Source organism: Homo sapiens, chromosome 1 (genome assembly GCF_000001405.40).
Source record: "Homo sapiens chromosome 1, GRCh38.p14 Primary Assembly".
Lineage (NCBI taxonomy): Eukaryota > Metazoa > Chordata > Mammalia > Primates > Hominidae > Homo > Homo sapiens.
Window position 1 is genome coordinate 160,912,108 of NC_000001.11, and position 17,863 is coordinate 160,929,970.

At 43.3% G+C, this 17,863-nt stretch overlaps 3 annotated features.

Moving 5' to 3' along the window:
- Positions 635 to 1,289: an enhancer, noted in NCBI's record as "NANOG-H3K27ac hESC enhancer chr1:160882532-160883186 (GRCh37/hg19 assembly coordinates)". NCBI's record gives its function as "activates a minimal SCP1, AML or CMV promoter by ChIP-STARR-seq in naive H9 embryonic stem cells {active_cell/tissue: H9 hESC(naive)}" and the evidence as "EXISTENCE:reporter gene assay evidence [ECO:0000049][PMID:30033119]".
- Positions 1,290 to 1,944: an enhancer, noted in NCBI's record as "NANOG-H3K27ac hESC enhancer chr1:160883187-160883841 (GRCh37/hg19 assembly coordinates)". NCBI's record gives its function as "activates a minimal SCP1, AML or CMV promoter by ChIP-STARR-seq in naive H9 embryonic stem cells {active_cell/tissue: H9 hESC(naive)}" and the evidence as "EXISTENCE:reporter gene assay evidence [ECO:0000049][PMID:30033119]".
- Positions 13,839 to 14,039: a silencer, noted in NCBI's record as "peak433 fragment used in MPRA reporter construct". NCBI's record gives its function as "represses an SCP1 promoter by STARR-seq MPRAs in K562 erythroleukemia cells {active_cell/tissue: K562}" and the evidence as "EXISTENCE:reporter gene assay evidence [ECO:0000049][PMID:32103011]".

Here is a 17,863-nt window from a genome sequence, read left to right on the forward strand (position 1 = left end):
TTTCCAGATTCAAACACCACCCACACTCCTTAGCTCATGGCTCCTTCCTCTATCTTCAAAACACATCACTCTAACCTCTGCTCTGATCATCGCATTTCCTTTTCTGTACCCTCTGCCTGCCTTCTGTACCCTTGTTTGACCCTTTGCCTGCCTTTAAAGGACTCATGTGATTACATTGAGCCCACCTGGATAATCCAGGACACTCCTCTCATCTCAAAATCCTTAACTTAATCACATCTGCAAAGTCCCTTTTGCCATCTAAGATAACATATCCACAGGTTTCAGAAATTAGAATGTGGACATCTTTGGGGGGCCATTATTCTGCCTTCCATACCCTTTACTGTAGATTTGAACATTTTCAAAATAAAGAGTAAGGAAAATGTCTAGAAAATTAGAGCAATCAAAATAAATGTAGGCCTGTAACTCTTTGTGAAGCTTTGCGAAGGCCCTTCTTAGGAGCTAACCTTGGAGTCCAGGAAGCCTCGCAGGGGAACCAAGGCTAAACAGAGGTTCACAGAGGACTCCTGAAACCAGGAATACATCCTCCAGTCATGCAGTCCAGCATGGTTAATGAAAGAAAAAGCACAACTCTTCCTTCAAAAGCCCACTGCTGAGCCAGGTATGGTGGCTCAGAACTGTAATCCCAGCTACTCTGAAGGCTGAGGTGGGAAGATTGCTTGAGCCCATGAGTTTGAGTCAACCTGGGCAAAATAGCAAGACCCCATCTCAATTTTTTTAATAAAATTTAAAAAAACTTTTTTTGAGATGGAGTCTCACTCTGCTGCCCAGGCTGAAGTGCAGTGATGCGATATCAGCTCTCTGCAACCTGCACCTCCCAGGTTCAAGTGATTCTCCTGCCTCAGTCTCCCAAGCAGCTGAGATTACAGGTGCGCACCACCACACCCAGTTAATTTTTGTATATTTTTTAGTAGAGATGGGGATTCACCATGTTGGCCAGGCTGGTCTTGAACACCTGACCTCAGGTGATCCACCCGCTTCAGCCTCCCAAAGTGCTGGGATTACAGGTGTGAGCCTGTGGAGAAAAGAAAGAGAGATCAGATTGTTACTGTGTCTGTGTAGAAAGAAGTAGACATAAGAGACTCCATTTTGTTCTGTACTAAGAAAAATTCTTCTGCCTTAAAATGCTGTTAATCTGTAACCTTACCCCCAACCCTGTGCTCCCTGAAACATGTGCTTTGTCAACTCAAGGTTAAATGGATTAAGGGCTGTGCAAGATGTGCTTTGTTAAACAGATGCTTGAAGGCAGCATGCTCCTAAAGAGTCATCACCACTCCCTAATCTCAAGTACCCAAGGACACAAACACTGCGGAAGGCTGGAAGGGGAAGGCCGCTTGGGCCTCTGCCTAGGAAAGCCAGGTATTGTCCAAAGTTTCTCCCCATGTGATAGTCTGAAATATGGCCTCGTAAGAAAGGAAAGACCTGACCGTCCCCCTGCCTGACACCCGTAAAGGGTCTGTGCTGAGGAGGATTAGTAAAAGAGGAAAGAACGCCTCTTTGCAGTTGAGACAAGAGGAAGGCATCTGTCTCCTGCCTGTCCCTAGGCAATGGAATGTCTTGGTGTAAAACCCGATTGTATATTCCATCTACTAAGATAAAGGAAAACCACCTTAAGGCTGGAGGTAGGACAGCAGGCAGCAATACTGCTCTTTAAGGCATTGAGATGTTTATGTGTATACATATCTAAAGCACAGCACTTAATTCTTTACCTTCTCTATGATGCAGAGACCTTGTTCACGTGTTTATCTGCTGACCTGCTCTCCACTATTATCCTATGACCCTGCCACATCCCCCTCTCCGAGAAACACCCAAGAATGATGAATAAATACTAAAGGAACTCAGAAGCTGGCAGAATCCTCCGTAATGCTGAATACCAGTCCCCTAGGCCCCCTTTTTCCTTTCTCTATACTTTGTCTCTGTGTCTCTTTCTTTTCAAAGTCCCTCGTTCCACCTAATGAGAAACACCCACAGGTGTGGAGAGGCAACCCGCCCCATCATGAGCCACTGTGCCCAGCCTGAATTAAATTTTTTAAAGTTTAATTGAGCAATGAACAGTTCCCGAAACTGGCAGCCTCCCAAGCCAGAGTAGGTTCAGAGACTCCAGCGCAGCTACGTGGTGGAAGATTTACTGATGGAAAAGGAAAGTGACATACAGAAAATGGAATTGAGGTACAGAAACAGCTGCATTGGTTATAGCTTGGCGTTTGCCTTATTTGAACACAGTTTGAACATTTAGCCACATTTGATGGTCAAAATTTGGTGACTGGCACAAGAGTAGACCACAGTTTGTTCACATTTCCACTTAGGCTATAGTTCATGATGAAACCTTTAAGCCGAACTGAAAATATGTAACGAAGCCGCTTTAGGCTAAACTTGATTTAACAAATTCCCCCTTTTGGTCATCCTCTCAATTTTGAGAGATTTACTGAAACTTTAGTCATTGATGTCACAATCACCGTCATAAAAGTACTTATTTGGTCTTGAAACCCACTGGGAAATGGTAGAACAGTGGGTTTTTGCAAGGTGAGAACAAGGACTTTGGGTTGTTTTTTTAAGGGTAGAGGGTACTTCCTTATGCTGGGACGTCCTGTTTACAGGAGAAAAAACAAAACCTGGTCTGTTCTAGGATCTATGTGCTTCCTTAAAATCTTAATTTGATTATGTCACATTTAGAACAAGTGACTCCATTTTGGTTTGGTCTGGTCTGTTTGGGCCTAGTGCATGAGCTCAGTCCAAAACAATGGCCTTCCATAATTTGGTTTACAAATTTCCCCATTTGGTCCTCACTTAGGTGAGATGGTGACCAAAACTTAGTGTAACTCTCAGTTGCCATCATTTTGGATTCCAGTATCAGCATGTCATTCACAGGTTACAGTGCCCTCATGGTCACACATTTCTTTTCTTTTTTTTTTTTTTTTTTTAGACAGGGTCTTACTCTGTCACCTAGGCTGGAGTGCAGTGGAGCGATCTCGGCTCATTTCAACCTCCACCTCCTGGGCTCAAGTGATCCTCCCACTTTTGCCTCCTGAGTAGCTGGGACTACAGATGTGCACCACCACACCCAGCTAATTTTTGTACTTTTTGTAGAGATGGGGTTTCGCCATGTTGCCCAGGCTGGTCTCAAACTCCTGGACTCAAGGCATCTGCCTGCCTTGGCCTCCAAAAGTGCTGGGATTACAAGTATGAGCCACCATGCCTGGCCTATGGTCACACATTTCTTTCAGCCCTTGTCATTCCAGTTGAAGCAAGACCATTTGACATTTTAGTGATGGCTGCATGCAAACATTTAAAACTTTTGAGAGAATACAGTGCACCAAGGAGACTACTATTATGACAATCATGAGGATAATACCAAGAGTTTGGCATATATTCTTTACTCAGGGTCCCCATAAACCAACTCCTAAAATCAAATAGGTTAAAAAAAAATGAGCTAGATATACAGTCTACTTGCTTAACTAAGCAGTCTCTTCATTAATCCCTTACAACTGAATCGCTGTCATACCCAAGACAAGATATTTCTCATTAGGCTACAAAGTGTCAGCAGTTGCACAGGTATTTCTCTGTTTAGCCAGTAAGTAATCTAAAGCAATTCTATTATTTAGCATAACTTTCACAAATAATTTAAAGTCTGTTGTATAATCATATCTATTACAGTAGAATCTGCTGTAGAGCCTATCATGAGGGATACATTTCTAATCAATGCCTCTTTTACTCCAAACCATGGAAAAATGGACCTAACGAATGATGCCCTTCTAGAAGAGTGAAGACCTCCTGGCAATGTTCTCTTTAACCCATCATGTAAGTTAAGAGGGGTGAACCAATGTTCTGTTTCTGAATGATTATGAAGTAACATATGTACCATTAAAATTTCTCACCTACATTGAGCCTTCATCTCCCATCTATCAAGGTATAATATCATCCATGTATAAGGCTCACTACAAAATCCTTCACAGATAAAAGTATACTAACAGATCCTCTTTTTTTTGTTGGGGGGGGGACAGAGTCTTGCTCTGTCACCATTCCAGACTGGAACCCAATGGCATGATCTCAGCTCGCTACAACCTCTGCCTCCCAGGTTCAAGTGATTCTCCTGCCTCAGCCTCCTGAGTAGCTGCAACTACAGGCATGTGTCACCACACCTGGCTAGTTTTTGTATTTTTAGTAGAGATGGGGTTTCACCATGTTGGTAAGGCTAGTGTTGAACTCCTGACCTCAAGTGATCTGCCCTCCTTGGCCTCCCAAAGTGCTGGGATTACAGGCATGAGCCACCATGCCCAGCCGCTCTTTTCATTTCTGTTGTTCATAGAGGCATAAGCAAGGGAAAAAATATTCAAAGAGTCTCACGATAGTAGAGAGGTCTGGATCCATGGCCTCAGGAAAAAGCTGTTCACATCAAGGATGTCATCTTCTTCTGGGGAGAAACTTCCCTGATTGGCTTTACCTTAAGTGTTCCAATGGCTCTACAAGAGTGTGGAGGGACCCGTCTCAGTTGTGAGATTGTGAACCTGAGATTCGAAGTCCCAAAGTTTTGCTGCAGTGTGGATGGCAAGGGCAGTCTTTCTCTGATATTCTCAGAAGATCCAATCTTTGGGTTTTAGATTGTGAAGGGGTTGATTGTCCTCATAAAAATCTTTCTTTACCTGTGGCATAATAATCTACTGTTATAACATCAGCCCTCTTCCATGGGAAAGCTCTTATGCAACCAGGAAACATGCGTTGAAAATGACAATTGAATGAATTCTCTCTATAAATGTTTAAATGGCCCATCAGGTTGCAGAATGTACTTGAAGTTTTGATTGTCTTCCTGGGATGTGGGTTGACAAACCAAACATTGGTCATAAACTATTTTAGCAATTTAGAAGTCACCGCACCAATATGTATTTAATTTGGATCATTTTATCTTTTCCATAATGAGTCATAGAATGAAGAGCTTTTAATAACAAAAGCTTTAAGGACTCAGAAAGGACAAGGCAGACGTCCCAGTTCTCCATGAGTCCATGCTTAACTGGACTTATATCTTCTTGAATACTAGTTGTTTCTCCAATTTAGGGACATAGCACTGATAGCTGATGGGTTATCATAAGTAATTTGACTTAGACCATGGAATTCATTCAAATTGTATATTTAAACAATTTCAGTATTGGCTGATCCAGCATGAAAATCTGACAAAGTATTCTCTTGGTTTTCAAATAATTTTTGTTCTACTTGGATTAGCAGTTTTATAAACCAGTCAGTCTTTTTATTAAAGTTCCAGGAATTCTTATTCAGTCCAAATGATATGATTCTAAAGTCATCAGAAACCTGAATTCAAAAGTGCTTTTCAGGGTCCTTTTCATCCTTTCACGAACCTCCTAAAAGACACTATATTCTAGGATTTTGCCTGCTTATGAAGCTTTCAGAAACTGCATCAGAATTAAGTAATTAACTATGGAAATTACTTTAAATTGTCATAAAGACAAAATTGACAAGGAAATTTCTGTGGCCTACAATATCTTAATATAATAACCATAATTATTATTGATAGCATATACTCAGACATATTAGAATTTTAGAAATCCCATATGATTTGGGAACATGTATTAATAAATTCACTAAAATATAAGCTGAAGAAAGATAGACATTATTTCTTGTTTTAACAATGCTTCCCATGTAACTTGTCAAATAATTCTGTTTTCCTCTCTTTTGGATGCTTCAGGGGTACTCTGTAGCATCCCAAAGTTAGAGGTTAAAAAAGACTTAATTTTGAAGCTAAAATTTGATTTTGGGAAGCCTGTCAAACATGTTAAAGTTTTAAAAGACTTAATGTTATAAAATATAATTACAGGTCTGCATTTGTCCATTTTCACACTGCTGATAAAGACATACCCGACACTGGGCAATTTACAGAGGAAAGAGGGTTAATGGAGAACTCACAGTTCCATGTGGCTGAGGAAGCCTCACAATCATGGCAGAAGGCAAGGAGGAGCAAGTCATATTTTACATGGGTGGCAGCAGGCAAAGACAGAGAACTTGTGCAGGCTAGCTCCCATTTTTTTTTGTTTTGTTTTGTTTTGGGGTTTTTTTGTTGTTGTTGTTGGTTTGTTTTTTGTGTGGTTTTTGTTTTGTTTTGTTTTTTTTTGAGACAGAGTCTTGCTCTCTTGCCCAGGCTAGAGTGCAGTGGCACAATCTCAGCTCACTGCAACCTCCGCTTCCCAGGTTCAAGTGATTTTCCTGCCTCAGCCTCCCGAGTAGCTGGGGTTACAGGTGCCCTCCACTGCACCCGGCCAATTTTTGTATTTTTAGTAGAGATGGGGTTTTACCATCTTGGCTAGGCTGGTCTCATACTCCTGACCTCATCATCCACCCACCTCAGTCTCCCAAAATGCTGGGATTAAACTTCCATTTTTAAAGCCAACAGATGTCATAAGACTTATTCACTACCACAAGAACAGCACAGAAAAGAGCAACCCCCATGATTCAATTACCTCCTGTCGAGTCCCTCCCACCACACGTGGGAATTATGGGAGCCACAAGATGAGATTTGGGTGGGGACACAGAGCCAAAACATATCAAGCTCACTATAAGTCATTCATTTAGCCAAAATGATAACTCAACAATTTTTAAAAGGCAAAAACCTCTACTCATTGACAGAGGGAATACTTAGTTTCCCAAACTCTGTCTGTTGTCTTTCCCTTCCCTTTCCTATAGTTTATTCAAAAGACAAACAAAAATATTTCATAGCCAGCCATGGTGTCTCATTCCTGTAATCCCAGCAATTTGGGAGGCTGAGGTGGGTGGATTGCCTGAGCTAAGGAGTTCAAGACCAGCCTAGGCAACATGGTGAAACCCCATCTCTACTAAGATACAAAAATTAGCTGAATGTGCACACACCTGTAATCCCAGCTACTCGGGAGGCTGAGGCAGGATAATTGCTTGAACCTGGGAGGCAGAGATTGCAGTGAGCCAAGATTGTGCCACTGCACTCCAGCCTGGGTGACAAAGAAAGACTCCATCTCCAAAAAAAAAAAAAAAAAAAACTTTCATTATTCTTTCATATACATAAGTATCTTACTCAAGAGAAAAGCCAAGTTTCTTTTCTTTCTTTAATTTTTTATTTTAAATTCTGGGATACATGTGTTGAACATGCAGATTTGTTACATAGGTATACATGTGCATTGGTGGTTTGCTTCACCTATCAACCCGTCATCTAGGTTTTAAGCCATGCATGCCTTAGGTATTTGTCCTAATGTTCTCCCTCCCCTTTTTCCCCACCCACCAACAGACCCAGTGTGTGATGTTCCCCTCTCTGTGTCCATGTGTTCTCATTGTTCAGCTCCCACTTATGAGTAAGAACATGCAGTGTTTTGTTTTCTGTTCCTCTGTTAGTTTGCTGAGGATGATGGTTTCCAGCTTCATCCATGTCCCTGCAAAAGATACAAGCTCATTCTTTTTTATGGCTGCATAGTATTCCATGGTGTATATGTGCCACATTTTCTTTATCCAGTCTATCATTGATGGGCATTTGGGTTAGTTCTAAGTCTTTGCTATTGTAAACAGTGCTGCAATAAACATAAGTGTGCATGTGTGAGAAAGCCAAATTTCACCCTTGCATTTGTGTACTATTAATGTCAACATCAATTTTTAATAAAACCTTATAGGCAAATCTATCTAATCCTAATCAGTTTCACCATAAGGTAAGAGTCTCATAAGCCTCTTAAAACCCTTTACAAATTTTTGTTAAAGAGCAGATCAGTTCTCTAAGAAAACCCTGTTGTGCTTATTCCAATGTTCAATTTATGGAAAAATCAAATAATACCCCTTTAAATTTAGCTGATATGTTCCCACACAGAATTTCTTTTACAATATTAATGTTCTATAAACCTTCCACAACTTGCTCAAACTTTCAGCCTTATCCTATCTAACTTAAAACAATCCTTTAATCCTTTAATTTAGGCACAAACAAAAACCCACATTCCCTTGCCTTCTTATAATCTTTTGCCAAAATCACATTTTGCTTTCCTCACACACCTTGCATTTAAAACTGTTTTTTCAGTAGTCTCAATTACATGGTACAATGTTAACTCTTAGCAATTTTTATTTTTGATGAAAAACCTGGTAAGTGATTTTAATTATGTACTAGGTGTGGAGCCTAGGACACCAGAAAGAAATGCAGATAAAGTCTGATTTATTCCAGCATAGCCAGGAGGCATGGCTAACTCCACATGTCCCCAGGGCTTACCTAGAATGTAATGGCTCCAAAACAAGTAAGTTGAACAATTTTCAAAAGACAAAGCAGTTTATTACCTTAAAGCATTTAGCAAACCTAATATCTGACGTGCCTAATTTAGACCAAATAGCTTCATTTTACCAATAATCTTTAAAACTCTTCATTTCTCAAAGTCACATTAACTAAAAGGCATTAATTACAGTTTTTATTTTTGATATGGTTCAGCTGTGTCCCCACCCAAATCTCATCTTGAATTGTAGCTCCCATAATTCCCATGTGCTGTGGGAGGGACTAGGTGGGAAATAATTGAATCACAGAGGTGGTTTCCCCCATAATGTTCTCATGGTAGAGAATATATCTCATGAGATCTGATGGTTTTATGAGGGAAAACCCCTTTGATTTTGTCCTTGTCCACCACCATGTAAGACATGCCTTTCACCTTCTGCCATGATTATGAGGCCTCCCCAGCCATGCGGAACTGTGAGTCCATTAAACCTCTTTTTCTTTACAAATTACCCAGTCTTGGGTATGTCTTTATCAGCAATGTAAAAACGAACTAATACAGTAAATTGGACCAGGAGTGGGCACTGCTGTAAAGATACCCAAAAATATGGAAACGACTTTGGAACTGGATAGCAGGCAGAGGTTGGAACAGTTTGGAGGGCTCAGAAGAAGACAGGAAAATGTGAGAAAGTTTGGAACTTCCTAGAGACTTGTTGAATGGCTTTGACCAAAATGCTGATAATGACATGCATGCACAATGAAACCCAGGCTGAGGTGATCTCAGATGGAGATGAGGAACTTGTTGGCAACTAGAGTAAAGGTGACTCTTGTTATGTTTAGCAAAGAGACTGGCAGCATTTTGTCCCTGCCCTACAGATTTGTGGAACTTTGAACTTGAGGGAGATGATTTAGGGTATCTGGTGGAAGAAATTTCTAAGCAGTGAAGCATTCAAGAAGTAACTTGGGTGCTGTTAAAAGCATTCAATTTTAAAAGGGAAACAGAGCCTAAAAGTTCAGAAAATTTGCAGCCCAATGATGTAATGGAAAAGAAAAACCTGGCCAGGCATGATGGCTCATGCCTGTAATCCTAATACTTTGGGAGGCTGAGGTGGGCTGATTGCCTGAGCTCAGGAGTTTGAGACCAGCCTGGGCAACACGGTGAAACCTCATCTCTACTAAAATACAAAACAAATTAGCCAGTTGTGGTGGCATGCACCTGTAGTCCCAGCTACTTGGGGGGCTGAGGCAGGAGAATTGCTTGAATCCAGGAGGCAGAGGTTGCAGTGAGCCAAGATTGTGCCACTGCACTCCAGCCTGGGTGAGAAGAGTGAGAATCCATCTCAAAAAAAAAAAGGAAAGAAAAACCCATTTTCTGAGGAGAAATTCAAGTCAGCTGCAGAAATTGGCCTAAGTAATCAGGAGCCAAATGTTAATCACCAAGACAATGGGGAAAATGTCTCCAGGGCATGTCAGAGGCCTTGAAGCAGCCCCTCCCATCACAGGACCTAAGGCCTGGGAGGAAACAATGGTTTGTGGGCAGGACACAGGGGCCCCATGCTCTGTGCAGTCTAGGGACTTGGTGCCCTGCATCCCAGCCACTCTAGCCATGGTTAAAGGTGCCAAGGTACAGCTCAGGCCATGGTTTCAGAGGGTGCAAGCCTCAATCCTTGGCAACTTCCATGTGGTGTTGAGCCTGCAGGTGCACAGAAGTCAAGAATTGAGGTTTGGGAACCTCCATCTAGATTTCAGAGGATGTAAAAAAACACCTGGATGTTCAGGCAAAAGTTTGCTGCCAGGGTGGGGTCCTTATGGAGCATCTCTGCTAGGGAAGGGAAATGTGGGGTTGAAGCCCCCACACAGAGTCCCCACTGTGGCACTGCCTCGTGGAGCTGTGAGAAGATAGCCACCATCCTCCAGACCCCAGAATGGTAGATCCACCAACAGCTTTCACCATCCACCTGGAAAAGCCAAAGGCACTCAACACCAGCCTGTGAAAACAGCCAGGAAGTGGGCTGTACCCTGTAAATCCACAAGGGCATAGCTGCCCAAGACCATAGGAACTCACCTCTTGCATCAGTGTGACCTGGATTTGAGACACAAAATCAAAGGAGATCATTTGGCACTTTAAGATTTGACTGCCCTGCGAGATTTTGGAATTGCATGGGGCCTTCAGCCCCTTAGTTTTAGCCAATTTCTCCCATGTGGAATGGGTGTACTTATCCAATGCCTGTACCCCCATTGTAGCTAGGAAGTAACTAACTTGGTTTTGATTTTACTGGCTCATAGGTGGAAGGGACATGCCTTGTCTCAGATGAGACTTTGGGCTGTGGACTTTTGAGTTAATGCTGAAATGACTTAAGACTTTGGGGAACTGTTGGGAAGGCATGATTGGTTTTGAAATGTGATGACATGAGATTTGGGAGGGGCCAGAGGTGGAATGATATGGCTTGGCTGTGTCCCTACCCAAATCTCATTTGAATTGTAGCTCCCATAATTCACATGTATTGTGGGAGGGACTCAGTGGGAGATAATTGAATTACGGGGGCAGTTTCCCCCACACTGTTCTCATGGTAGTGAATATATCTCACAAGATCTGATGGTTGTATAACAGGAAACCCTATCACTTCATTCTAATTCTCTCTTGCCCACTACCATGTAAGATGTGCCTTTCACCTTCTGCCACGATTGTGAGGCCTCCCCAGCCATGTGAAACTGTGAGTCCATTAAACATCTTTTTCTTTATAATTTTTTTTTGAGACAAAGTCTCATCTCTGTCACCCAGGCTGGAATGCAGTGGCACAATTATGGCTCACCTCCACCTCCTGGATTCAAGTAATTCTCCTGTCTCAGCCTCCCGAGTAGCTGGGATTACAGGCATGCACCACCATGCCCAGCTAATTTTTGTATTTTCAGAAGAGACGGAGCTTCACCATGTTGGCCAGGCTGGTTTCAAACTCCTGACCTCAGGTAATCCACCTGCCTCAGCCTCCCAAAGTGCTAGGATTACAGTCATGAGCCACCGTGTCTGGCCTTTCTTTATAAGTTATCCAGTCTCAGATATGTCTTTATCAGCAGCATGAAAATGAACTAAAACAATTTTTCTGAAAAAATATTTGATTTAAATGCTTATTATTATTAAGCCAATTAATCAGAACTTTTTCATATAAACATCACACACAACACATAAATATATAGACAGAAGAAGATCCAGTAGTTGTAAGATTTTTCATTTGCCAGTTTTTAAGATTCTTAATTGGATTACTGGATTCAGGGTGGAGTCCTTTGAGGAACAGGGCTAGGAAAACATGCAGTTTCTAGGGCCTAATAAGCAGGCACAGCTGGAAAGCAAACAGATCTCCAAAAATTCAGGGTCCCATTTTTATACTGGATTCTGGATCCCCAAAAGAGAAATGCTGTGGAACAAGACAGTGCAATGATTTTACCGTACATTTCATTGCAAAGCAACCCAAACTCAATCAACCCAGTTTTGATCAGTCCATCCTCCATGGGAATCTTATCTCTCAGTGGGCAGGTAGGAGGACACCCAGCTAGGTGTGGAGCCTAGGACACCAAGCTCCTAGGCTAGTGTATCTTGATATACTAGGATATCCAAAAGTACATTTAGCCTTAGATTTTGAGAAGAATGGTATGCTTTGGCCGTGTCCCCACCCAAATATCATCTTGAATTCCCACATGTTGTGGGAGGGACCTGGTGGGAGGTAATTGAATCATGGGGACAGGTCTTTCCCATGCTGTTCTCATGATAGTGAATAAGTCTCATGAGATCTGATGGTTTGATAAGGGGAAAGCTGTTTTGCTTGGCTCTCATTCTGTCTTTGCCTGCTGCCATCCACACAAGATGTGACTTGTTTCTCCTTGCCTTCCACCGTGATTGTGAGGCCTCCCCAGCCATGTGGAACTGTAAGTCCAAAAACCTCTTTCTTTTGTAAATTGCCCAGTCTCAGTTATGTCTTTATCAGCAGCACGAAAATGGACAAATACAAGGGATTTATCTACTCTCAGTTCCTGGGGTTTCATGAGGAAAAAAGGTTTTTCCCAAAATGGGGTCTGTGGCACTTCTTCTGATTTTCCCAAGGAGTCTGGGCTGTTAGAAATTATCTTAGGTATTCACATCTGTAATCCCAGCACTTTGGGAGGCTGAGGTGGGCAGATCACAAAGCCAGGAGTTCAAGTTCAATGTGGCCAACATGGTGAAACCCCTTTCTCTACTAAAAATACAAAAATTAGCTGGGTGTGGTGGTGCGTGCCTATAGTCCCAGCTACTCAGGGGGCTGAGGCACGAGAATCACTTGAACCCAGGTGGCAAAGGTTGTAGTGAACTGAGATTGTGCCACTGCACTCCAGCCTGGGCGACAGAGTGAGACTCCATCTCAAAAAAAACAACAAAAAAAGAAAAAAGTAATTATCTTAAGTCTGGCCAGACATAGTGGTACATGCCTGTAATCCCAGCACTTTGACAGACTGAGGCAGGTGGATCACCTGAGGTCAGGAGTTCAAGACCAGCCTTACCAACATAGTGAAACCCCATCTCTACTAAATACAAAAATTATCCAGGCACGGTAGCGCATGCATGTAATCCCAGCTACTTGGGAGGCTGAGGCATAAGAATCACTTGAACCTCAGAGGCGGAGGTGGCAGTGAGCCAAGATCATGCCATTGCACTCTAGCCTGGGCAACAAGAGTGAAACTGCTTCTCACAAAAAAAAAAAAAAAAAAAAATTATCTTAGGTCCTCTCGTGTGTGCATCAAGAGTGGCAAGAAGACAAAATGAAGAAAATCAATTCAGTTGACTGAAAAGATAAAAATATTTTTTTCCTAGAAAAACAAGACCCAGAAAGAGAAAAAAAAAAAAACATAAAGGTCTTGTCAATATACCTATAGCTTGAATATCTGCTTTTAATTAAGTTGACTTTGAACCAAATATCTTATTACAAGACTCTAGCCAAAACAAGCAGCAAATATTTCTTACCTTTGAACTTTACCAAAGGCAACCTCCCAAGTGCTCAGAGAAAGGAAAATTCAAGACAGGAAGTCAGAAGTTGTTCATGGAGGGAAAGAGAATCAATAAATGGCAAAAGTCACACAGATATCAAACCAGAAAGTGTTACAACAGTGGGTAGCTAATTAGGTATGAGCAGGGCAGGAGAGGGCTCCCCACACACAGACACACACACACACACGCACTAGGAGTGTTGGGCGCCAATCAGGTGATGGTCAGGCGGTTGTTAACTGTTTCCTTAAAGTAGTAATCATTCACAGCTGGTGCCAGGGAACAGCAGTCTCCTAATAGATACAAAACACCTGAAACTGATCAGCAGCTTCCCAATAAGATCTCAGGAGTTGGGAGAAGTAACACAAGATCCTGGAAGGATGCCAACGTATAAAACCCCGAGTCAAGAGGTCAAGTTGTGCACTTGGTCTCTTGAGTCACCCACTTGGCTTGTATTTCCAAGTGTACTTTCCTTACTGCTCTAAAGCTTTTTATAAACTTTCCCTCGTGTGCTAAAACTTGCCTCAGTCTCTCCTTCTGCCTTATGCCCCTCAGTTGATTTTTTTCTTCCCAGGAGGCAAGAACTGAGGTTGCTGCAGACCCATGTGGATAACTACCACTGGTAAAAAAAGTACTCATTCCCTAAGTCGGGAATTGAACCCTGGCCACCACTGTGAAAAGACAGAGTCTTATCCACTAAGCCACAGCATCAGGCAGTTTCTGCTGCTCTTCCCAGAAGTAGCCTAGAGAGGTCAATTTTGAACTTCAAATGGCTTTTAAATGTTCAAAATAATTTTCAGAGCTGTTACATGAACTCCGAAATTCCTGTTCCCTGGATGATGGAGACCAAGACAAAGTATTGCTCTATGGTTACAAGATCAATCTCCCAATGACATTAAACAAGAAGATAGAGAAACCTCATCCAGCTTTTTTGTTTCAGGGATCTTCAGCAAAGTTTGTAACTAACCAGTTTGCCAGAATGGCTTGAACAGTGAGCTTATGGGGGTCCTAGGCCCACATTCTATTTTATTGTACCCCTTTTTATGACAGAACAATGCAGAAGGACACATTCATAGCACAAAGTACACCAGATTTGCTACAGCTTAAGACCAGCCTCACGAATCCTTTTACTCATTAATTAAAACTTTGCGGTCAGGCATGGTGGCTCATGCCTGTAATCCCAGCACTTTGGGAGACCGAGGTGGGCGGATCACCTGAGGTCAGGAGTTCAAGACCAGCCTGACCAACATGGAGAAACCCCGTCTCTACTAAAAATTCAAAATCAGCCAGCCATGGTGGCGCACACCTGTAATCCCAGCTACTCAGGAAGGCTGAGGCAGGAAAATCACTTGAACCCGGGAGAATTGCTTGAAGCCAGGAGAATCACTTGAACCTGGGAGGCAGAGGTTGCAGTAAGCCAAGATCACGCCATTGCACTCCAGCCTGGGCAACAAGAGAGAAACTCCATATCAAACAAACAAAAAAAAAAAGTCTTAAATGCTGGGCACGGTGGCTCACACCTGTAACCCCAGCACTTTGGGAGGCTGAGGCGGGCAGATTACCTGAGATCAGGAGTTTGAGACCAGCCTGGCCAACATGATGAAACCCCATCTCTACTAAAAATACAAAAATTAGCTGCGCATGGTGGCACGCGCCTGTAATCCCAGCTACTCAAGAAGCTGAGGCAGGAGAATCCCTTGAGTCTGGGAGGTGGGTTCACTGCAAGCCACTGGAGTGCACGCCACTGCACTCCAGCCTGGTGACAGAGCCAGACAAGAAAAGCAAAGGGGTGGAACACAAAAATCCATGCAAATTTCCAAAAGCCAAATTTTACACCCCCTGCAATATTGCCATTTACTACCTGTTTCTTTCTGACCCAGTCAGATGTAAGAGGCTTCTAACTAGATCCAAGCCAGTTGATCAGTTAATTACTGAATCCAATCTGGTCCTGGACCCAGTCTGGTTTCTGTCAGGACTTTCAAACCAAGTTTGGATCAGAAATTTGCTCAGAGAAACTCAGAGAGCTCAAAACACAAATCTATGGCGCTTCGGAATCCGAGAGAGAACTTACCCATGATCCCTGCTTGGTCACTCAGCACTCCTGGGGGTTGTGAGAAGCTCTACTTCAGATCCCACTTCTGACACCATCTGAAAAACTTCAGCCAAATTAAATTTAAAAGAGTTTAATTGAGCAGTGAATGATTGATGAATTGGGCAGCCTCCTGAGCCAGGGTAGACTCAGAGACTCCAACAGGGCTATATGGTGGAAAATTTATGGACAGAAAAAGGAAAGTGATGTATGGAAAATGAAAGTGAGATGCAGAAACAGCTGCATTGGTTATAGCTTGGTATTTGCCTAATTTGAACATTTAGCCACATTTGACTGACCAAAACTTGGTGGTGATTGGCACAAGAGTAGACTACAGTTTGTTTATACTTCCATTTAGGCCATAGTTCGTGATGTACAGAGAAACCTTTAGGCCAAACTTAAAATATGTAAGGAGGCAGCTGTAGGCTAAATGTGATTTAACAATGGAGAAAATTTAAGATTACATCACCCAAACAGAAAGAAGGGCCTGGGCACCTGTAGTCCCAACACTCTGGTAGGCCAAGGCAGGAGGATTGCTTGAGCCCAGGAGTATGAGACCAGTCTGGGAAACACAGGGAGACCCCATCTCTACAAAAAAAATTTTTTAAAATAAAAATTTAGGCCAGGTGCGGTGACACTGAGGTGGGCAGATAACCTCAGGTCAGAAGTTTGAGACCCACCTGGCCAACATGGTGAAACCCCATCTCTACTAAAAACACAAAAATTAGCTGGGTGTGGTGGCAGGCACCTGTAATCCCAGCTACTTGGGAGGCCAAGGCAGGAGAATTGCTTGAACCCAGGAGGCAGAGGTTTGCAGTGAGCTGAGATCATGCCATTGCACTCCAGCCTGGGCAACAGAGGGAGACTCCGTCTTAAAAATAAATAAATAAGGCTGGGCACAGTGGCTCACACCTGTAATCCCAGCAGTTTGGGTGGCAGAGGCAGGCGGCTCACAAGGTCAGGAGTTTGAGATTAGCCGGCCAATATGGTGAAACCCTGTCTCTACTAAAAATACAAGCCGGGCGCGGTGGCTCATGCCTATAATCCCAGCACTTTGGGAGGCTGAGGCAGGCGGATCACGAGGTCAGGAGATCGAGACCAACCTGGCTAACATGGTGAAACCCCGTCTCTACCAAAAATACAGAAAATTAGCCAGGTGTGGTGGCGGGTGCCTGTAGTCCCCGCTACTCAGGAGGCTGAGGCAGGAGAATGGCATGAACCCAGGAGGCAGAGCTTGCAGTGAGCCGAGATCGCGCCACTGCATTCCAGCCTGGGCGACAGAGTGAGACTCTGTCTCAAAAAAAAAAAAATACAAAAATTAGCTAGGCACAGTGGCGGGTGCCTGTAGTCCCAGCTACTCAGGAGGCTGAGGCAGGAGAATCGCTTGAACCTGGGAGGCTGAGGTTGCAGTGAGCCAAGATCACGCCACTGCACTCCAGCCTGGTTGACAGAGCGAGGCTCCATCTCAAAATAAATAAATAAATTAATTAATTAAAATAAATTTTAAGAAAAGAGAAAGAAAGTTTAATAATGATTTGAAAGGTTATATATCAGATATCACTTAAGGCCAGTCACAGTGGCTCACGCCTGTAATCCCAGCACTTTGGGAGGCCAAGGCAGGTGGATCACCTGGGGTCAGGAACTCGAGACCAGCCTGACCAACATGGTGAAACCCCTTCTCTACTAAATACAAAAAATTAGCCAGGTGTGGTGGTGCATGCCTGTAATTCCAGCTACTCAGGAGGCTGAGGCAGGAGAAGCGCTTGTACCCAGGAGGTGGAGGTTGCAGTGAACCAAGATTGTGACACTGCACTTCAGCCTGGATGACAGGAGTGAAACTCTCTCTCAAAAAAAAAAAAGAAAAAGAAAGGTATCGGCCAGGCGCGGTGGCTCACGCCTGTAATCCCAACACTTTGGGAGACCAAGGCAGGTGGATCACGAGGTCAGGAGATCGAGACCATCCTGGCTAACACGGTGAAACCTGTATCTACTAAAAATACAAAAACTTAGCCGGGTGCAGTGGCGGGCACTTGTAGTCCCAGCTACTCCTTGGGAGGCTGAGGCAGGAGAATGGCATGAACCCGAGAGGCAGAGCTTGCAGTGAGTTGAGTCGAGATCACGCCACTGCACTCCAGCCTGGGTGACAGAGCGAGACTCTGTCCAAAAAAAAAAAAAGCTATCACTTAAAAATAGCAGCAAGTGAATGAGTAAGTCAGCCTCACCTTCAAAATAGTCTAACCTGACCACCATTCACAATCCTACTGCTTTCATCCTCTTCTAAGCCACTAGCATCCCCTGGCTGGCTGCAAGTCTCCTCATTGGTCTCTCTGCTTCTGCTCTTGGCAGTCTTCAGTATATCCTCAACACAGCCAAAGTCATCCTGTTAAATCAGGCTACCCTCCTACTCAGACCTCTCTGAAGGCTTCTAGTCTTGCCCAGAAGGCCCACAATATCCTACACAATCTGCTCCCATCTTACCTTTGTGCTGTCATGACCTGCTGCTTTCCTCCATACTTATGCAGCTTCTGCTAGCCAA